At 47.7% G+C, this 21,683-nt stretch overlaps 1 protein-coding gene and 1 long non-coding RNA gene across 2 annotated transcripts in view, besides 5 other annotated features; one reads left to right on the top strand and one right to left on the bottom strand.

Annotated features, from left to right (window-relative positions):
• Positions 1–144: 144 nt before the first annotated feature.
• UBE2Z (ubiquitin conjugating enzyme E2 Z) lies at positions 145–20,794 on the bottom strand. The gene is made up of 7 exons (NM_023079.5): positions 20,381–20,794; positions 18,321–18,393; positions 16,180–16,367; positions 13,014–13,125; positions 7,929–8,041; positions 6,264–6,354; positions 145–2,237 (listed from the first exon to the last, which is right to left on the bottom strand). The coding sequence occupies exons 1-7, from the start codon at positions 20,695–20,697 to the stop codon at positions 2,067–2,069; spliced, it is 1,065 nt and encodes a 354-aa protein (NP_075567.2). The 5' UTR covers positions 20,698–20,794; the 3' UTR covers positions 145–2,066.
• Positions 13,039–13,378: an enhancer, noted in NCBI's record as "active region_12348". NCBI's record gives its function as "activates an Ori minimal core promoter by ATAC-STARR-seq in GM12878 lymphoblastoid cells {active_cell/tissue: GM12878}" and the evidence as "EXISTENCE:reporter gene assay evidence [ECO:0000049][PMID:35858748]".
• Positions 19,013–19,062: an enhancer, noted in NCBI's record as "active region_12347". NCBI's record gives its function as "activates an Ori minimal core promoter by ATAC-STARR-seq in GM12878 lymphoblastoid cells {active_cell/tissue: GM12878}" and the evidence as "EXISTENCE:reporter gene assay evidence [ECO:0000049][PMID:35858748]".
• Positions 19,083–19,132: an enhancer, noted in NCBI's record as "active region_12346". NCBI's record gives its function as "activates an Ori minimal core promoter by ATAC-STARR-seq in GM12878 lymphoblastoid cells {active_cell/tissue: GM12878}" and the evidence as "EXISTENCE:reporter gene assay evidence [ECO:0000049][PMID:35858748]".
• Positions 20,006–20,135: a silencer, noted in NCBI's record as "silent region_8663". NCBI's record gives its function as "represses an Ori minimal core promoter by ATAC-STARR-seq in GM12878 lymphoblastoid cells {active_cell/tissue: GM12878}" and the evidence as "EXISTENCE:reporter gene assay evidence [ECO:0000049][PMID:35858748]".
• The window catches only part of LOC105371814 (uncharacterized), a 34,124-nt gene continuing 32,658 nt past the window's right edge, over positions 20,218–21,683 (top strand). Inside the window, exon 1 of the long non-coding RNA NR_135674.1 lies at positions 20,218–20,262. This is a non-coding gene — a long non-coding RNA (uncharacterized LOC105371814). The remainder of the gene's footprint in view (positions 20,263–21,683) is intronic.
• Positions 20,406–20,655: a silencer, noted in NCBI's record as "silent region_8662". NCBI's record gives its function as "represses an Ori minimal core promoter by ATAC-STARR-seq in GM12878 lymphoblastoid cells {active_cell/tissue: GM12878}" and the evidence as "EXISTENCE:reporter gene assay evidence [ECO:0000049][PMID:35858748]".

The following is a 21,683-nucleotide window of genomic DNA, read 5'->3' as shown; positions in this document are numbered from 1 at the left end:
CATGTTATGCAAGTCTTCGGTTTCCAGACAATTCATGGCACTTTCCTTCTCCCTAACAGTTCCAGGCCTAGGTGAGGTGTGGTTGACAAGATGATCCCATTCGTCCTTTACACAAGCCCTCCCACACCCACAGGCACTTCCTCCTTCTGCCAAAACAAACTTTATTGCACCAAAAAGGAAAACAAAAAAAACAAAAAAACTTCATTTATATACAGTCAGATATAAAGACATCTCTTTGACTCCTGTGCATATATTTCCTCAACTCAAGATTAGGGCATAAAAGTCAGGCTGCTATGCCAGACATGCTCTGCCCTATGGCAGGGCCAAGGAGAGGATTGTCACTTGAAAGTGGGAACACTTAAATGGATGACAGACAACACTGGACCCACAGACCAAGAGCATTCTTCTAAGCCCTGGAGTAGCTCGAGGAATGGAAGAGGGAAATTGGAAGCAGGGTCCCTTTTCGATCTTCATGTGAAGAGACCCAGCCTCTTCAAGGGTATCCAAGATAAACTTCCGTTCCCCAAGCCCACCAATCCCTGTCCAGTTCCTTTGCTTCCTGCCCTCCCAAATAGGACATTCTCCTTTGTGCCCAGCCCCCCTTTGCACAGATCCTCCAAGGGGAGTCCCATGATCCACAAGGCAGAGACCTTCATAGCAGAGGGCAGGGCAGGTACACACTATCCTCTCCCTTATGCATGGCTGGACACTGACTGAGGCCCTGCATCACAAGAATCGCCAATACCCACTGGGAGCCATAACAATAAATCTGGAAGTACGGGGAGAACATATCAAAAAGGGGAAGGATGGATTCCCTTGATGCCCAGGATTACAGGGCACCTAAAGCACATTTTTTTTTTTCTGAGCCAACCAGCTAAAGGATCACTGCAGCTAAATACAGATAGAGAAGCAACAAAGCCAGGCAAATACCCATCAGAGACAGTGACAAGAGCAGCTGGGGGCACGGGGGAGGCGGAAGGAAGAGAAAGAAGGGGAGGAGCCTCCAGAGTCCCAGCCCCAACCCCCTCTGCCATTGGCTACCCTTGCTCCCCAAAAATCCCTGGGGTTGAAGTGAGGAGGACTACAGGCTGGGGTGAAAATACACAAGGACAGCCCAACAAAATACAACAAGGACTAGCATCAGTCTCCCCCTTACTCCACCCCCAAGAAAAATACCCTTATTGTGACTAGTATTTATGAAAATCTGTAAGAGACTATTCTATGTAGTGGCTCTAATCCCATATACACAGCAGCTGCCTGTGTTGGGAACTTTTCAAATCAGTGATTGCGGGAACAAACAGTATTTTCAGCTTCTTACGGTGCCATGCAGGCTTTACCAAGACCTTGGTTAAGTCCCAGTCACATTTACTTTCTGTCTTACATCTAGAAAAGGGTGAGGAAAGAGGGGAGGGGAGAAAGGTGCTCAGGTGCTAGGTAAAGCTTACTGATCAGCAGCCTAGACTCCACCACTGTTCCTTCTCTTTGGTCTGTCTAGAACAGTGACTATAAATTAGGAAAAACAAAATTATGCTGGCCTGTGGGAAATAATGGGGGAAGGAAGGCAGGGAGGAAAAGGGCATTGGGAAGCCCTGCTTCAAGACTGAAGACAGACAAATAGACAACCACCCAGACTGCTTAAGTGTCACAGACAGCCCCCACCCCAAGCTCCCTTCCAGGTATCCCCATAAATCATTTGGGCACACTCCCTCTTGGAATTGCAATTTCCATCTTCCACTTATCCCTAAGGAGCTGGCCCTGTGGAGAGGTGTGTTGGTTGTTTTGTTTTTGCCAAAGGCCCTCGCTCTAGGTGCTCCTGTAAAGGTACCTTGGCCCCTGATACGGGATGAATGGATGAACGAAGCCCCAGATGCTCCAGTGCCAAGGAGGTCAGACCGGGAACAGGCCCCCACTCCCACACCCTGGGATCGGAGCTTGCTTGGTTCTTGCCATCTTGCAGGATGACTTCGAGTCTGGAGGGAGATACACAGTGCCTCTCCATCCCTGGGGTGGGGGGAAGGGATTCTGCTGGGACTCTTGAGTGGGGGAAGGGGAGATGGGAGCAGGGTCTAAACCCTCAGGCTCCCATGAAGGTCTGTCTCTGTCCCAGATGAACTGCTATCAGAGTCCATTTCTGCATTCTCATTATGGAGCCTCTCCAGCACTTTCTGACGTATCAGTCCCAGGCGCATCAAGAGGGACTGGTAGTCAAAGTGGCCCCGCTTCTCTCCAAAAGGGTCCTGTGGGGAAAGGAGACAAGGGGATGGAAGATTCAAGTCTGGGTGGCTGATCCTAGAGAAAGCAACTTCGGGCCCATGTGAAATGAAAGCTCAACTTCTGAGCCATGGGAGCAGGAAGGCCTAACAGCACAGGCAGTCCCAAACAGCAGGCAAAATAACCTTTGCTTAAAAATATGACACCTGGGCCAGGCGCGGTGGCTCACACCTGTAATCCCAGCACTTTGGGCGGCCGAGGCGGGCGGATCACCTGAGGTTGGGAGTTTGAGACCAGCCTGACCAACATGGTGAAACCCTGTCTCTACTAAAAATGCAAAATTAGCCGGGTGTCGTGGCGCATGCCTGTAATCCCAGCTACTCGGGAGGCTGAGGCAGGAGAATCACTTGAACCCGGGAGGCGGAGGTTGCAGTCAGCTGAGATCGAGATCGCACCATTACACTCCAGCCTGGGCAACAAGAGTAAAACTTGGTCTCAAAAAAAAAAAAAAAAAAGACACTCTTACCGCCCCAAATAGGTGTAGCTTGGGCTAGAGTGAAAATGTATTGGTATTCCTCAAAAGCAAACCAATATCCGGAAGAAGGGACAATAAGGGTGAGATAGATAGGAATGAGAAATTCAAGACCAGAATTATAATTGTTAAGTATGCCTATGTTTTTAATTAACCTCATAAAAACCACAGAAGGTAAAAGTTGCTCTTTATTCTCTGTACTCAAAAATGGTAATCTGCTTTTCTAAGGTCAGAAGCAGGTCTAGAATTCAAGAGTTCTGACTTTCAGATAAGCACCTGTACTCCTCCCCAGGGACTCGTCACTCCATTCCCATCCAGGTTTCTGGGCATTGCTCCAGGGCCACCCAGCCTCGATCTTAGTCCTTCTTGTTCTAGATCAAAGATCCCTAAACGTTGTACAGAAAGGTTTAATTGTCCCCAAAGTCTCAAAAACAACTAGTTGAGTGGATGGTATAAAAAAGAGTTTAAAATACTATATAGGGACTTAGGCAGCAAAGCAGTGCAACAGCCCCCAAAAGGTACACAACTTTCCCTCTCACATTGTTTGCTTCTCTCACAAAAACTCCTTCCATACTTCTGCCCACACATTACCCTCATCCTGAGTGGGATGGCAGTGGATGCTAGTCACTGTCACTGGGACTACAGCCTGCACTTCTCCTTCATGAGAGTTAACTCCCTCAAGACTGAGCTCCACATTTACTACTATGGAGCTGTCAATTCTGCAAATCTTGTTTCTTTCATCCGTGGCTCCAGCTCCTCTAATGCTCCTCCTGCCCAGATGCTGTACTCCCTCCCATCCCTCATCACCAGTTGTTTTTCCTTTACACACTGATATTGCTAATGCTGTTGGATACCAGCAATTAGAATTCCTGATGGGGAACAAACTAGGACATATGTCATTGATATACTCTCAAAAAGGGTTTAGGAGACAACTTAGTCCTGAGCCAGCCCTGCCCTTTGTGCTTAAATGAGACAGGTGGGTGGAAAGTCCTTGAAAGAAGGAAGGGAAAACTACCATTTATAAGTAGCACTGGAGGGCATAAGTCATCTCCTCCTACGCTGTTGGTGTTGGGGTGGGTGAACAGACATAGTACGAGAGCTGGAGAGAGCCTTAAGAAATCTTAGTCAATTATCCAAGTCTCCCATTTCTTTTTCTTTCTTTTTTTTTTTTTTTTTGAGGTGGAGTCTGGCTCCATCGCCAAGGCTAGAGTGCAACGTGATCTCGGGTCACTGCAACCTTCACCTCCCAGGTTCAAGCAAAATTCTTGTGCCTCAGTCTCCTAAGTAGCTGGGACCACAGGCACGCACCACTACATCTGGCTAATTTTTGTATTTTTAGTAGAGGCAGGATTTCACTGTGTTGGCCAGGCTGGTCTCAAACTCCTGATCTCAAGTGATCTGTCTGCCTCGGCCTACCAAAGTACTGGGATCACAGGCATGAGCCATTGCGCCAGGCCCCACGAGTATCCCATTTCTAAGCAAGACCACCAGTAAGATGATCCAAACACCCAAGAACTGATTCTCCAGGACAGGAGAATTCTCATTCTCTTACCAACCAGGTGGTTTACATTAGTCTATCTATAATTTTTGTCTTTTTTTTTTTTTTTTTTTTGAGACAGAATCTTGTTCTGTTGCCCAGGCTGGAGTGCAGTAGTGCAATCTCAGTTTACTGCAACCTCTGCCTCCCAGGTTCAAGCATTTCTCATCCCTCAGCTTCCCAAGTAGCTGAGATTACAGGCATGAGCCATCATGCCTGGCTAATTTTTGTATTTTTAGTAGAGATGGGGTTTCACCATGTTGGCCAGGCTGGTCTTGGACTCCTGGCCTCAAGAGATCTGTCCACCTCTGCCTCCCAAAGTGCTGGGATTATAGGCATAAGCCACCGCACCTGGCTGTCTATCTACAATTTGGTCAATGATAGCCTCCTTCCTTAAAACAAGCCTAAATTTTGAGTTCTTATGGGAAGCAAAAGCACACTTTTCCCAGTAGAGGCAAAGAATGAACAATGGTTATCATCTTTGAATAGGAATCTTTCAACATGTGACACTACAGGTATGTTGTTTCTCTAAGCTACTGTTTCTGTGATCAACCCTCAGGGCTGGGAACAGAATTTAAATAGAGGATTCATATAATCCCTAAGATTCTGGGAGGGCTGAACGCATCTTAGCTTCAAAACACTATGGGCTGGGTGCAGTGGCTCACACCTGTAATAATCTCAGCCTCCCAGTTTGGAGGCTAAGGGAGGAGGATCACCTGAACCCAGGAGTTGCCTGGGCAATAGAGTGGGACCCTATCTCTACAACCAAACAAAACAAAACAGGGCCTGTAATCCCAGCACTTTGGGAGGCCGAGGGAGGTAGATCACTTGAGGTGAGGAGTTCAAGACTAGCCTGGCCAACATGGTGAAACCCCGTCTCTACTAAAAACACAAAAAATTAGCTGGGCATGATGGCGTATGCCTGTAATCCCAACTACTTGGGAGGCTGAAGTTGCAATGAGCTGAGATTGCTCTAGCCTGAGCAACAGAGCAAGACTCTGTCTCAAAAAACAAAACAAAACAAAAACTAGCTGTGGTGGTGCACACCTGTAAGTCCCAGCTTGGGAGGCTGAGGTGGGAGGACTGCTTGAGCTTGGGAGTTTGGAGTTGCAGTGAGCTGTGACCCAGCTACTGCACTCCAGCCTGAGTAACAGAGTGAGAACCTGCCTTTAAAAAAAAAAAAAAAAGAGGCTACTGACCAAGGAAAGTAAAGAGTTCCCTATGACTTCATGAAAATCAGTCTCCTCTCTGGCTCTCAGTCCCTCAAATGATATAGGTTGCTTTTAGCTTTTTTTTTTGAGACCGAGTTTCGCTCTTGTTGCCCAGACTGGAGTGCACTCAGCTCACTGCAACCTCGGCCTCCCAGGTTCAAGCGATTCTCCTGCCTCAGCCTCCCAAGTAGCCGGGATTATAGGCACATGCTACCACGCTGAGCCAATTTTTTGTGTTTTTAGTAGAGGCGGGGTTTCATCATGTTGGCCAGGCTGGTCTCACACTCCCGACCTCAGGTGATCTGCCCACCTCAGCCTCCCAAAGTGCTGGGATTACAGGCGTGAGCCACCGCGCCTGGCTATTTTTTTTTTTTTTTTTTTTTTTTTTTGAGACAGAGTCTCGGTCTGTTGTCCAGGCTGAAGTGCAGTGGCACAATTTCAGCTCACTGCAACTTCTGCCTCCTGGGTTCAAGTGATTCTCCTGCCTCAGCCTCCTGAGTAGATGGGACTACAGGTACACGCCACGATGCCCGGCTAATTTTTTGTATTTTTAGTAGAGACGGGGTTTCACCGTGTTAGCCAGGATGGTCTCAATTTCCCGACCTCGTGATCCGCCCGCCTTGGCCTCCCAAAGTGCTGGGATTACAGGCATGAGCCACTGAACCCAGGCTTAGCTGTGTCATTCTATGACAGCTGTCGATGCCACGCTTGTGGGGGGCTTTTACATGGCCAGCTGTAGGGCTTCTGCAATTAGCAGCAGGGGTTGTATTACCTGCATAGTTTGGCCTTGAAGGTGCAGGCGATCTTTGCAGGCCACCTCGTAGAAGTCGTAATACTCCAGAAAGGACTTCTCCATCACCCCTCTGGAAAACAAGCAGAAAAGTGTAAGTGAGAAACCCAGGGGTACAGGTCACCCCTTCCTTACCTAACCTTTTTTTTTTTTCAGATGGAGTCTTGCTCTGTAGCCCATGTTGGAGTGCAGTGGTGCAACCTCAGCTCACTGTGACCTCTGCCTCCCGGATTCATGCAATTCTCCTGCCTCAGCCTCCTGAGAAGCTGGGATTACAGGCATATGCCACCACGCCTGGCTAATTTTTGTTTTTAGTAGAGACGGGGTTTCACCATGTTGCCCAGGCTGGTCAGGAACTCCTGACCTCAACTGATCTGCCTGCGTCGGCCTCCCAAAGTGCTAGGACTACAGGCGCAAGCCACCACACCTGGCCTCTTTACCTAACCTTAATGCCAAATTAAATACCTACCATTCCCAAGTCCAGATCTGTTTTCTACAAAGATCTTTTCATTTTATTTATTTTTTATTTTTTTGAGACTGAGTCTCGCTCTTTTGCCCAGGCTGGAATACAGTGGCGCAATCTCGGCTCACTGCAACCTCCGCCTCCCAGGTTCAAGTGATTCTCATGCTTCAGCCTCCTGAGTAGCTGGGATTACAGGTGCGTGCCACCACACCCGGGTAATTTTTGTATTTTTAGTAAAGATGTGGTTTCACCATGTTGGTCAGGCTGGTCTTGAACTCCTGACCTGGTGATCTGCCTTCCTTGGCCTCCCAAAGTGCTGGGATTACAGTTCCTTTTGGAAAAAGGAACACCTAACTGCCCGTGGTTGACTTCCCCTACACATCAGGAATTATGAGTGTGACTGTAATATTCACCATTAGTTTTCTTTTTGAGGCAGGGTCTTGCTGTGTTACCCAGGCTGGAGTGCAGTGGTGTCATCACAGCTCACTGCAGCCTCAACCTCTTAGGCTCAAGCAATCCTCCCACCTCAGCCTCCTGACTGGCTGTGACTGCAGGAGCGTGCCATCACACCTGGCTAATTTTAAAATTTCTGTAGAGATGGGGTCTCCCTGTGTTGCCCAGGCTGGTCTCGAACTCTTGGGCTCAAGTGATCCTCCCGCCTCAGCCTCCCAAAGTACTAGGATTACAGGCGTGAGCCACCACCAAGCCAATACTCACCATTTGAATCCCAACTTCAACTCATGACTTGCTCCACCTCCATTGCTTTTCATCAGCCATCCCCAATCCCAAACCTTACTCAAAATTCTCCTAGAAGTTTATTTATTTAACCCTGACGTTGCTCATCCAGTTTTGGCACTTAAAAATAACTTCAGCACTAAGAAATGAGTCTTATTATGAAGTACTCTACACATTTGGCTGGAAAAAAGTACGTCCAAGCCTTCATCAAACTGGAAGCTCCCTGAGCGTGTGGACTGCCTCTCCCAAAGGCATGGCATTCTCCAACAACAGAGTAGCTCTCTGAACTTCCTCTTGGGTAACCCTCAGCCACTTGTTCTTTAAAAGCAGGAACCACATCTTTCCTTCTTCTCTATCTCCCTCTGGTACCCAACACTGTACTCTGCCCCAAAGATGCCAACTACCCAAATGCCCGAAAGGAATACCAAGCAAGCCCGCTTGACACATACCGTAGGGGTTCAGGACAGGGACACTTTCCTTCCATCATGTCACAGACTGCAACTCTGATGGTCTCGTGCCGGATACATTCATTATAGTTTTTGCTGTCTCCTGGATGTCTCTCCTATAATGTAACAGATGCCAGAGTATTCCAAAAATTAAGCAAAAAGAAAACCAATGGGAAGGGACTTCAAGATTAGTATGGGGTATGTCAGCCAGTCACACAAACTAAAAAGATACCTTTCCCACTGTATGGCAGATCCATGAAGAGCAACCACACCTTTATTTTTGACACCATTCACCTCCACCACCCTCCAAATATACCAACAGGTTACAGGTCATTTGGCCTATCACCAGCAAACTAGATCCATCATATTTTCCTGAATGTGAAGTGAAAGGTCTATCAAGTAAAGATTATGTGGGAAATAACCAAACATAAGAATGATGGTAGGGTTGCTAAGCCTGGTGGCATAAACTAATAGTCCCAGCTACTCAGGAAGCCAAGGTGTGAGGATCACTTGAGCCCAAGAGTTTGGGTTCAGCCTAGACAACAAAGTAAGTTCCTGTTTTTTCAGTTTTTCTTTTTGGAGACAGGGTCTTTGCTGTTGCCCAGGCTGGAGTGCAGCGGCACCATCACAGCTAACTGCAGCCTTGACTTCCTGGGCTCCAGCAATCCTCAAACTCCTGGGCTCTAGCGATCCTCCCACCTCAGCCTCCTGAGTAGCTGGGACTAAAGACATTCGTCACCATGGTGGGCCCCGAGTTTTTATTTTTTATTATTTATTTGTTTTTTTGAGTTTTGCTCGTCACCCAGGCTGGAGTGCAATGGCACGATCTCAGCTCACTGCAACCTCCGCCTCCTGGGTTCAAGCGATTCTCCTGTCTCAAGCCTTCCAAGTAGCTGGGATTACAGGCGCCTGTCACCACGCCCAGCTAGTTTTTGTATTTTTTAGTAGAGACAGTGTTTCACCACGTTGGCCAGGCTGGTCCTGAACGCCTGACCTCAGGTAATCCACCTGCCTCAGCCTTCCAAAGCGCTGGGATTACAGGCATGAGCCACCGCACCCGGCTTGTCTTTTATTTAAAAAATTTTTAAGAGGCAGGCTCTTGCTTTGTCATCCAGGCTGGAGAGTGGTGGCATGATCAGAGGTTACTGCTGCCTCGAATTCCTGGGCTCAAGCGATGCTCCTCTCCTCAGCTTCCCAAGTAGCTGGGACTCAAGGCACATGTCACAATGCCCAGCTATTTTTTTAAAAAAGTTTTTCGGTAGAGACAAGGTCTCACTACGTTGCCCAGGCTGGGAAACACTTGTCTCTTTAGGGGGAGAAAAAAAAAAGACAGAAAGAATGATGGTGGGACAAAAAGGTATAAATGAAGTGAAGAGTCTCAGTGTAGAAAACCTTCAGGCATCAACAAGTAAAGGATGCTTCCTGGTTAACCCCTTTACCTGTTATATGTCTCTAGGGTCCCACCATCATTGAACCAATTATTATAAATCAGAAGTAGGGCTGGGCCCGATGGCTCATGCCTGTACTCCCGACACTTTGGGAAGCCGATGCAGGCGGATCGCTTGAGTTCAGGAGTTCAGGATCAGCATTGGCAACATGGTGAGATCCCGTCTCTATAAAAAATACAAAAATTAGCTGGGCATTGGTGGTGTGCACCTGTCGTCCCAGCTACTCAGAAGGCTGAGGTGAGAGGATGGCTAAAGCCCAGGAGTTCGAGGCTTCAGTGAGCTATGACTGTGCCACTGTACTCCAGCCTGGGTGACAAAGCAAGACTTTGTCTCAAAGAAATAGTACAATTAGAAATAAATCTATCAGAAGCTTCGAAAGATAAACTTCAACTTTGGTCTAGAAAGCCAATATAAACAGGGTCTCACTATGGTGTGAATAGAAGGGGAGTATGGCCTCTACTCCTTTAATTTTTCCTGTGCTCTTCTCCTCTTACCACCAACCCCAGTCAATTAGAGCCCTGGCCTCTGATAAAAATAGCTGATGGGCCAGGCGCGGTAGCTCACACCTGTAATCCCAGCACTTTGGGAGGCCGAGGCAGGTGGATCATAAGGTCAGGAGGTGGAGACCAGCCTGGCCAAAACAGTGAAACCCCGTCTCTACTAAAAATACAAAAATCAGCTGGGTGTGGTGGTGTGTGCCTGTAAATAAATAAAAAATAAATAAATAAATAAAATAAAAACAACTGCAAGTCATTCTGGAAGTAAAAAATAAAAAACACAAGGCTGGGCATGGTGGCTCACACCTGTAATCCCAGCACTTTGGGAGGCGGACGTGGGCAGACTGCTTGAGGCCATATGTTCAAGACAAGCCTGGCCAACAGGGCGAAACCCCATCTCTACTACAAATACAAAAATTAGCCAGGCGTCATGGTGTGTGCCTGTAATCCCAGCTACTTGGGAGGCTGAGGTACTAGAATCGCTTGAACCTGGGAGGCAGAGGTTGCAGTGAGCTGAGATCACACCACTGCACTCCAGCCTGGGTGACAGAGTGAGAGTCTGCCTCCAAAAAAAAAAAAAAAAAGACAAGACCTAAAAATCAGCTCCTGCTAATGAGGTCTATTTCAATTAGACTCTCCTCCTGAAATGAATGTTTGGAGAAAGGATGGGTTAGGAAATAATTTTTGTTAACTTTTGAGGCCAGACTCTGTGGCTCACACCTGTGATCCTACCACTTTGTGAGGCCGAGGCAGGCTGATCACCTAAGGTCAGGAGTTCAAGACCAGCTGGCCAACATGGTGAAACGCCACCTCTACTAAAAATACAAAAATTAGCCAGGCGTGGTGGTGTGCGCCTGTAGTCCCAGCTACTCAGGAGGCTGAGGCAGGAGAATTGCTTGACCCTGGGAGGTGGAGGCTGCAGTGAGCCGAGATCACACCACTGCACTCCAGCCTGAGTGATGGAGTGAGACTCTGTCTCAAAAAAAATTTTTATTTTTCATTTTTGAAAGGCATTTTATTATCCTTTGTTCAGGTCTATAGAGGAAGAATCAAAGTTGGTGTCATATGTAATAGTTTAAAAATAAATTAAGTTGGCCAGGCATGGTTGCTCACGCCTGTAATCCCAGCACTTTCAGAGGCCAAGGCGAGTGGATCACCTGAGGTCCGAAATTCGAAACCAGCCTGGCCAAGATGGTGAAACCCCTTCTCTACTAAAAATACAAAAAATTAGCCAGGTGTGGTGGTGCGTGCCCGTAATCCCAGCTACTCGGGAGGCTGAGGCAGAGGAATCACTTGAACCTGGGAGGCAGAAGTTGCTGTGAGCCGAGATTGTGCCATTACACTCCAGCCTGGGTAACAATAGTGAAACTCTGTCTCAAAAAATAAATAAATTAATTAAGCTGTTCTAATCACCTATCCGGAATCATTTTCTTTTGGGACTATCACTGGAACTTTTTCCCGTGCTCATGAGTAATTCAGGAAGGCACATCGGAAGAGTGGGAGAAGTTGGGCTCCAATGTAAGTCTGGGGTCCTATCCTGATCTGTGTGTCTTTGTGAAAGTTAATTAACCTCTCTGAGGCAACATTATTTCACTTGAAAATGGGAATAACCATATTTAACCTCACATAGTATGAAGGTTAAACAAGAAATTATATATAAAAACTTGGTAGTGTCCAGCACAGAGCATGCTCTTGGAAAAATGTGAGTTTTCTCCACCTTCTCGTTGGCACTGTTAACTCAAAAAGTCTTGCCCGGGACTCCTAATGACTAGCTCCTTTGACTCTGCAGGTAACAGTCCTTCATAACCCCAGAAGAACAGCTGGCTGGGTAGTAGTCCCTACAGAGCAACTTTAGGGGATGCTGAGAATATAGGCACATAGAACCCACTGGATGCCACAACCCCCAAAGCAGGTCAGAATTAATTTCCAAAGGAGTCCATTGACTTCCATGCTATAAAGGAATCCAAGTCACATACTTATTGTAACTCTCACAAATAAAAAAATTCATTATTATTATTATTTTTTTAAGACGGTGTCTCGCTCTGTCGCTCAGGCTGGAATGCAATGGCCCAATCTTGGCTCACTGTAAGCTCCACCACCTGGGTTCACGCCATTCTCCTGTCTCAGCCTCCGAGTAGCTGGGACTACAGGCGCCTGCCACCACACCCAGCTAATTTTTTGTATTTTTAGTACAGACTGGGTTTCACTGTGTTAGCCAGGATGATCTCAAACTTCTGACCTTGTGATCTGCCCGCCTCGGCCTCCCAAAGTGCTGGGATTACAGGTGTGAGCCACCGCGCCTGGCCATTATTATTTTTTTGGGGGTGGGGGGACCGAGTTTCGCTCCTTACCCAGGCTGGAGTGTAATGGCGTGATCTCAGCTCACTGCAACCTCTGCCTCCAGGGTTCAAGTGATCACACCCAGCTAATTTCTTTTATTTTTAGTAGAGACAGGTTTTCACCATGTTGGCCAGGCTGGTCTCAAACTTCTGACCAGTTAATTTTTAGTAGAGATGGGGTTTTACCAGGTTGGCCAGGCTGGTCTCAAACTCCTGACCTCAGGTGATCCACCTGCCTGCCTCAGCCTCCCAAAGTGCTGGGATTACAGGTGTGAGCCACAGTGGTCGGCAAAAAATTTCATTACTAAAAAACACGTGTCAATTCCCTTTTTTTCCCTATACCAACAAATGTAGTACATGGGGCTGTGCTAGGTCCAAAACAAAACAAAACAAAACAAAACAAAAAAAACCTCCCAAGCAGATCTCTTAAAACACTATTCTGGCTGGGCGCGGTGGCTCACGCCTGTAATCCCAGCACTCTGGGAGGCCGAGGCAGGCGGATCACCAGGTCAGGAGCTGGAGACCAGCCTGGCCAATATGGTGAAACCCCATCTCTACTAAAAATATAAAAATTAGCCAGGCATGGTGGTACACGCCTGTAGTCCCAGCTACTTGGGAGGCTGAGACAGAATGGCTTGAACCCGGGAGGCGGAGGTTGCAGTAAGCTGAGATTGCACCACTGCACTACAGCCTAGGTGACAGAGGAAGACTCTGTCTCAAAAAAAAAAAAAAACAAAAAAACCAACCAACCAAACAAACAAAAACAATAGTCTACACCCCAGAGCCAGGCCCATCTGGCCTTACCTGTTCAAAGCCGGGCTCATTGTGATAGGGGTTCTCAGTCATCAGGGACTGGATAGAGATGAGCACTGAGGAGATGCTCTGGGCTGGGCTCCAGGCAGGTCCAGTCCATGTACTGTAAACACATCAGAAGGAATGGAGGGTGAGGCAGAGAAAGAATAGGGAACAAGTACCCTGGGGCCCGGCAACACCACCATAAGTGACTCACCATAAGTTTCTCTTTCACTATTAATACTCTGGAATTTCCCAGCCTCTGTCTCATGCTCATGTTCTGATTTCACCAGAAATCAGTCAATTGCCTAATCCTCAAATCAAGGGGGGGGGGCAAAAGAACAGGTAATAGCAAGCTATGTAACTTTGAAGGGATTTTCTTTGTACTAGAAACAGTTACGACAATCAAAACAAAAGAAATTAGGTAAGCAATTAGCTCCAAAGTTGTCTAAATGTTAATCTCCGTGGATCTCAAAGAGCTTGTTTATGGGTGGTGATGGAGTTAGTGAGGGGAGAGGGAAGTTGAGCATAAAGGGACACAGGTGACTGAAGCCATCTGGTTAGAGGCCATGTGGTGGGGCTATTGGGGATCCAGTTCTGTATCAAACCCCCAAGGAGTGTCAAATTCTCTTAAGACTACACAACTCTTCCAAAGAACAGGAAGAGAATAAGGGGTGCTTCCAGACAGTGGAAGGTCTGAAAATAATATATGGAAAACGTCAAATACCAAAATTGCTCCTCTCTTTCATAAACCCAACCAAGTATTAGGGGGAGGGGACAGCTTGGATGTTAATGACATTTATTTTTAGCTCAATTAATTGAAGAGATGGCACCGGAGCTGGAAGCCGAACACAACCTAAGCCAGGACTGGCTTGTTCAAGTTGACTGCCTGCTTCTGTTTCCCTGCTGTACTTGAGGAAAGCCCAAGTCAGTAATGCCTAATAGTAACTTCACTGGGGACTGCTCTTAAGTGCCTCTATCTTTTCAGCTTTGCTCCCCCAGGAACTCTAGACCTACTGCTCTCTGAAGCTTTACAACAGAGTCAACTCTCGTTAAATTTCTTTTGTCAGTAAGTCAGCCCAACATTGTTTTCTAGGTAAAGAGGAAAAAAAAAACATGGCTGATAAAGCTAATACAGTCAACTAGGAACACCTAAGAATTTTCTTTTCTTTCTTTTTTGAGACAAAGTCTCCCTCTGTCACCCAGGCTGGAGTGCAGTGGCGTGATCTTGGCTCACTGCAACCTCTGCCTCCCAGGTTCAAGCAATTCTTGTGCCTCAGCCTCCCGAGTAGCTGGGACTAGAGGCATGCGCCACCATGCCTGGCTAATTTTTGTATTTTTAGTAGAGACGGGGTTTCGCCAGGCTAGGCTGGTCTCGAACTCCTGACCTCAGGTGATCCACCCGCCTCGGCCTCCCAAAGTGCTGGGATTACAGGTGTGAGCCACCGCACCCGGCTGAAATTTTCTACTCTGTGATTCTTTATGGCAAATTTTCAATTTCAGGGCAGCTTCTCCTTTTCTACCTAACACACTTCTACTACTTTTACCCCACTGTCCTGTGGCTGGTATCTCAAAAGAGTTTTATATTGACCCAATGAGGGAGAGCCTACTTTGAGACACGCTTTCGCGAACAAATTTCATACAGAAGCAACGACTAAATTTCTTTATCATCATGGGTTTTAGCCTACCAGCAAAGACAATTAATTAAGTACCCTAACGAGATGAAGTACTTCTTTAAGGACAACCTCCTTTAAAAGACTTCTTCACTGCCAAAATCACAGCAGAACATATCCCTGGGTCTGAGCAAGTCCTAGAAAAATGAATCATGTCTCTAAGTTTATTTCAAATGCTGCTCTTCCCTCACACAAACCTGGAAACATGTTGGATAGCAGGAAAACAGAATAATCAGTTTGGGGGTACTTTCTCAACTTCAACCTGCACGTGTTCTCTGTCCCAGAGAAGTTCAGACCACTATAAAAACACCAATCCAAAATATGCGAGAAGATGTCCACACTGAGTTTTCAGCCCCCAAAGGCAACTAAAATGGGAACTCTATGAAGCAAAACCTCAGAAGCATCCAGAAAGAAGATGCACTAGAAACTCATTTCATATCTAATGTGATTTCCAATCTCAGACATTTGTCATTATTAAAATATTATAATCAGGTCAGGCATGGAGGCTCATGCCTGTAACCCCAGTGCTTTGGGAGCCACAAGAGGACGACTGCTTGAGGACAAGAATTCAAGACCAGCCTGGGCAACATAGTGAGATACCTGCCTCTACCAACAAAACAAAACAAAACAAAAACAAACAAAACAAAACAAAAATGAAACCATAATGATCACCACCACCACCACCGCCACTGCCTTCAAAGCAACTTATTGCAAGACTCAAATTAAGACACCCCAAATCTTGAATGGCACAGACCTGCAGCCTTTCTCAACCTGTTCAGGAGAGAAAATAAGGCCTTAACACCCCAAGAGAGTGGTTCTGAAACTGCAGTATGCACCACAATCATCTGGAGAGCTTGTAAAAAACAGATTTCTGGGCCGGGCACGGTGGCTCATGCCTCTAATCCCAGCACTTTGGGAGGCCAAGGTGAGTGGATGATGAGGTCAAGAGATCGAGACCATCCTGGCCAACATGGTGAAACTCCGTCTCTACTAAAGATACAAAAATTAGCTAGGTGTGGTGGTGCACGCCTGTAGCCCCAGCTACTTGGGAGACTGAGGCAGGAGAATCGCTTGAATCTGGGAGGCAGAGGTTGCAGTGAGCCAAGATCGTGCCACTGCACTCCAGCCTGGCGACAGAGCAAGACTCCGTCTCAAAACAAACAAAAAACAACAACCAAAAAAACCAGATTTTTGGCCCCAACCCCAGAGTTTCTTTTGTAGGTCTAAGATAGGGCCCCAGAAACTGCTCGGCTACAAGTTCCCAGATGCTCAGGGCCACACTCTTAAGAGAACCACTTCTCAAAGGTTACCACTGTAATAAATTAACTTCTCCCCTCTGCATCTAGAATGATACTAGTCACATACCATCCTGAGGAGATTTGAGAAGAGTCACTCAATCATTTTCTGTGTTCTGTAGTTCAGATGAGGGACTCCGGTTGATAAAGGCTGACCTAGAGTAATTATCTGCTAACAACCGACTTGGCTACTTAAAAGTCTCCTCTTACCCTAGAATACTCAAGCAGACTTTCCCATTGCGGTAGAAGTTGGGGTTAAACCTCACTGTGTTATTGCCCGTTGTCATCAGTTTGACCCGAGGTGGGTGGATGGGATAGTCGGGCGGACACCGAAACACGAACAGGAAGAAACCCCCTTCATAAGGAGTGTCAAATGGGCCTGTGATCAATGCATGAATCTGCAAAATAAAACCCCATCTCAAAATTGTGAGGTGATGACCCACCCCAAGCCCTCCTGGCTACCCTCCACCTACTACCCACACCAGAAGCAGAGTCCATAATCTGGTACACATGTTCTATATCCTCACCATGCAGAAGGAACATCCTGTATTCACTCATACTAATACGTAGGTTTGGAATTTTAAGAAATCTCATTACAGTGGAATGACATCTTACTCAGGGGTTACTTCTAAAGTTAGAGCCCAAGGCGAAAACTGAATCTAGTCAAAATCACTCTTGAGTATCCCCTAAAACTCTCTTAAAGCATTTTTTTTTTTTGTGCAGACCTCCCTGATCAGTGTTACATATAATGGATAAAACACCACTGTGGAAAAATATAATATGCTTATCTATAAAATATAACCCTAGCGTTTTTAATTTTGAGAAATCGACACAGATTTTGACTGAATATATGTTTGGATTTGCCCAGGCCAAACATGCATATGATGCAACCCCACCCTACATTTATGTGGCACGAAGGGAAAGTATGATGAAAGGAGACGAAGAAAGGGATTGGAGGCCACAGCCCAGTGCCAGTAACACAGCAGGGTTAGGGGGTGTGATGGATGCCTAGGGTATCTGCTTGCTTCCTCTGCAGAGGATCAAACCTATTGTGGAGGATGTGGCTCAGGCAGCACATCATGACTGAAAATGGGGAAGACTCAGGGTCCACTCAGAGCCATTAGACCAGTCCCAGAACTTTCCCCAATACTGTTTAAAAAAAAAAAAAAAAAAAAAATCAGCCGTCCTGAAAACGACACTAAATTCTCTTCCCCCTCAAGCCATAATTCTTCAACAGGATTTCCCCCCCTGAAGGGAGGAAAACCTGAACTGACTCAGTTATATTTCTTCTTCCACAAAGGCTCCTAGGCATTTAGGTCTGCTAAGCATTTGAACAGCAAAAGGAAAGGGACGTGGCAATCCAATGCCTAAGTCTATAGTTCCCACCTTGCCCTCCTGGCAAGACCCTACGTCATATTCTGGCTCTCAGTCATTTGGAATAGTAAACTCAACTGGTCTCAACATGGCATCAACTCTGGGACCCCAGGTACTAGGCTATTAACACTGGTACTTGACTGAGGACGAGATGTCCTAGGAAAAACATTTCTAACTACATAAAAAAAAAATATGAAGGGAAATCTATTCAAAACAACAAAAAAAGATACACCAACAATACAAAATCTGAATTTTTACTGTAAGAAATTTACTGTAAGAAAACTATGTGTTTCACTTAAACAGCATTAGGTTTAGGAAATATGATTTCTTTCTAACATCAGTTTAAGTGCAACTGCACTTCTGTGGGTAGAGCATTCAGTGACAGAGAAACCTAGGTATCTATGCCAGAGAAATGTGACATTATGTATTAAGCTTTCTCTCTGAGAGGAGGACAAGAGAGGTATAGTCTTTGGGGTGGAAGGGATACTTAAACGCAACCAGTAAGGACAGGATCCTGAGCAAAGTCCTTTAACCACAAACACTTCAGTCAAGCTTGCCCTATTCCCAACCTTCCCTACATCTGATTTATAGTACCATAGCATAGTTAATGTCAAGAGTAACGGGATGGGGGAAGAGCTGGGTAGTACAATGGATAGGGTGACCATATAATTTATTATCCAAACAGGAGCATTTTTGAGAGTGAAAGAATGCCCTATAAATAGTCAAGCTGCGACAACAGACATGAACTGGGATTTTCCAAGCCAATCAGTACCTATGGGGTACACTAATAACAGACACCTCTTCAAAGTGCTGCTCCACCTCACTATGTGACCTTGGACAAGCCACTTACTCTCCTGGGGTCTTGATTTCTTCATCTGTGTAATCGGAGAGGTGAGCTGAATAATCTCTTTTAGGCTTTTGCAACCTTATGGCCCCCAATTTCCCAAAACCCCCCAAACCCCCATCAAGTTACATACCTTAGTCATGTCAACAGTATCAGGTACAACGAACATTCCTGGAGGAGGCTCCTTATAAATGGACATGATATCCCTGTATAACACCAAGAGGAGGTGGGGGAAGGAGTGAGGAAGAGGGGGAAAGGGGGAATCCCTTGAGCAGGACAGTTGTTATCACCTCAATGAGGCCAGGGTTTGAGAAAGTGGTGCTTGGTACCGCAAGTGTTTGTACTGTCTTGTTGGCTGAGAAATCTCAGCTGAGTACTTGTCAGGCAGGCAGAGAGCAAATTATTATCAAAAGGGCATTGTTTCCTCAGGGGGAGGGGAGGGAGAGAGGAAAAAAATCAGAGATCCCAATGGCATCAAATGTCAGCCTGGAAAAGCCACTTTCCACTTACTCTCACTTCCTCCCACATGGCAATTCATTCACTCCCCACCTCCATGATTCCCAGGTACTACGACTGAATGCTAAATGAAGATTTTTTAGTAACTGGAAAGGCATCATCAACTCCACTAAAAAACTAATTCTATAAACTATACAGTGGACCTTTATTGGTAAGGGGATTGTATGAAGCAAGCCAGCCAGCAGAGAGTAAGACTATCATGGTGGCCTTCTTGCCCAGGGGTGTCTCAGGGTAGAGATCTCTTCAGGCTGGGGAGGGATCCTCAGAAATTGCTAAGAATCTCCCATCTGGAAGATGACATGTGGACTTCCATAGGAGATAAGATTTCTGACTCATATCTCACCAACTGGAATGGATCAGTTGAGAGCAAGGGGCTAAAGAACATTCTAGGTGGCGAAAAGCCTAGGGACTTGCTAGGGTGGGTAGGGACATAAAAAGGGCAAATAGGCGACAAAGCAGAGGAAAGCATTGGCCAAACTCAAAGGTATGTCAGAATTGGATGACTGAAATGGCTGGAGGAGGAAAAGAGTTGAGTGCTGAGTTTCAGTTAGAGGTGGCAATCCCTCCACAGTTGACCTCCTGTGTCAGGCACTGTGCCAGGTACTTTACACACATTATATTAATTTTTATTACAACCTTGAAAAGTAGACACAGAGACATCTGAAAGGACGTGGAACATGGGGAATAAGAACTAAACGAAGATGCTTGTGATGGGGGCATGGGGAGAAGTCAAACAGGTTTCAGGATTAATAGCTAAAGAGCACTGCCCTTTTCTTATGCGATAGGTACTATTCTATGTGCTTCTGGAAAACATCATCTACTAAATGATAGGATCTAAGATCAGTCACCCAAGAAATAAGCACAGAAAGGACTTAGGCCTTTGTTCCTATATTTGATGAGTATATTTGCTTCATAGAAGTAAAACAGACGACCCGGGGAGGGTGGGGGGTGGGGGGAGGGAAATTACAAGAAAGAAGCTCCTGAGTGGGATATTACAATCCAGAGTGGCACTGGGGAATTGGGGGGAGGTAGCCTGTGTTTCTGGAAGAGGCGTAAGAGTGGACAGCTTTGGGACACTGGAAAAGGGGTTCAAGGAAAGATTGGGGCGAGGGAAGCGATCTAGACCTGGGAAAAGACTGTGTGGAGGGAATCTGAGAAAAACGGAGGATAAAAAGAAAGGTTGGCTCGAGTCAGAGGCATGGCAAAGGAAGCTGAGTTCGTCTGTGTTAGGAACGGGGCTCCAGAGGAGAAGAGAGGGGACCGATGGGTGGGGCCTGCGGGCAGCATCTAGCAAGGTTGGGGTGGGGAAGGGGAAATAGGGGCGGCGCCGAAGGCGGGAGGGGGCGTTACTGAAGCGCTAAAGGGTCGGGTTTCCACCCGGAGGTGGGAGGTGTGGGGGAGGGTGGCCGGAATGGAGACGGAGGGCTCACGGGAGGTTGTCGAGGGGCGGGGTCGGATCTGGGCACACGAGGCGGGGGTTGGTGCTTGCGGGTCTGAGGGTGGGGGGAGAAGGGAGTTGGATCCCGACGCCCGGAGCTGGCAAGATTTGGGCCGTGGAGGTGGGCCGCCGCGAGGGCAGCGCAGTGGGTGGGGGGTGAGTTGTAGTGGGAGAGGGTGGGGGGCGGGGAAGGTCGAGCCCCGGAGCTCGGGGCTGGGGGAGGAAAAACCCCGGCTCACCGCTTGATCCGGAGTAGACACTGCGGCGCGGTGCGCTCGCCGTCCCAGTCGGAGCTGAGCGTGGGGTCCCAGTGGCTAAGCAGCGCGGCCCCGTGGGCAGCGGCTGAGGGCGGGAGCCCGGGCAGCGGAGCCAGGCCGCTCCCCGGGCCCCCGGCCCCGCCCGCTGCCGCCGCCGCCGCCCACACATCCGGCAGGAAAGGCGGCCCGAACCCGCCGCCGCTGCCGCTAACGCCAACAACACCAGCAACGCTGCTCGCCCCGGGGCCCGCCGCCCCGGCGCCCGCCGTTGCCGCCTCCTCAGTCGGACTCTCCGCCATCGCTGCTTCGCTTCCGGGACTACTCGGCAGCACGTCCGCCGACCAGAGCGGCCGCTGCTCCCGCCCGCTCCCGCACCACCGAGAACCGGGCCAGAGTGTCCCCACCCCCTCCGCTTCCACAGCCCAGACGGTGCTGGCTCCGCCCACCCCCGCCCCAACCAGCGAGAGGCGCTCTGCAAGAGCGTCCACCTACGGTCCTCCAGGACGGGAGGGGTGGGAACTAGCAGGCCGTGATGGTTCTGGGCTCGTGTGGGTCCTGCGCTGTGCGGAAGTAGCGGAGAGCCCAATTCAAGTGTTGAAAGGGGAGAAGAGAGGAGGGAGTGGGGGAGGAAGGGCCATATCATTCCCGTTAATGGCGGCGACCCTCAGACGTCTGCATGGTTAGGATTGGGGATCCAGCATCCTCATGGGAAGCTCAGTAGAGAAGTTGACTCGCTTTGGGCCCCTTCTCTCGGAAAGGCTCTGCGATTGATCCCTCCTGCACACTTGTGCACCTAGGGCAGGGTACCATTGCCCTTGCCTGCAACAGGACCAAGAGAGAACTCAACTTGGAATGAAAAGCTACCTCTTTTAGAGTTTATTCAACATATATTTATGAAGGGCCTACTAAATGCCAGTCACTGTTGCTAGTTGTTGCCATGGGGATAATGAAACAGAACTAGAGAAGCTTGGTGAAAGGAAGAAACATCAGGCCTCCTGACTCCAAGCTTAGTACTTTTTCTTCCCACAAATCTTGGAATATACAGGAATCGAGGTACTGTGAGTGTAAACCCTGAGGATTCTTTGGGTCTTTCCTAAAATGTTTAAAGTGAAAAATAATCTGCCAGGCTCGGTGGCTCACGCCTGTAATCCCAGCACTTTGGGAGGCCGAGGTGGGCGAATCACGAGGTTAGGAGTTCGAGACCAGCCTAACATGGTGAAACCCCGCCTCTATTAAAAATACAAAAATTAGCCGGGCGTGGTGGCGTGCACCTGTAGTCCCAGCT

This window comes from Homo sapiens, chromosome 17 (genome assembly GCF_000001405.40).
Source record: "Homo sapiens chromosome 17, GRCh38.p14 Primary Assembly".
NCBI lineage: Eukaryota > Metazoa > Chordata > Mammalia > Primates > Hominidae > Homo > Homo sapiens.
The sequence above is the reverse complement of the archived record's forward strand: the minus strand, read 5'-3'. Positions and strand labels throughout refer to the sequence as shown.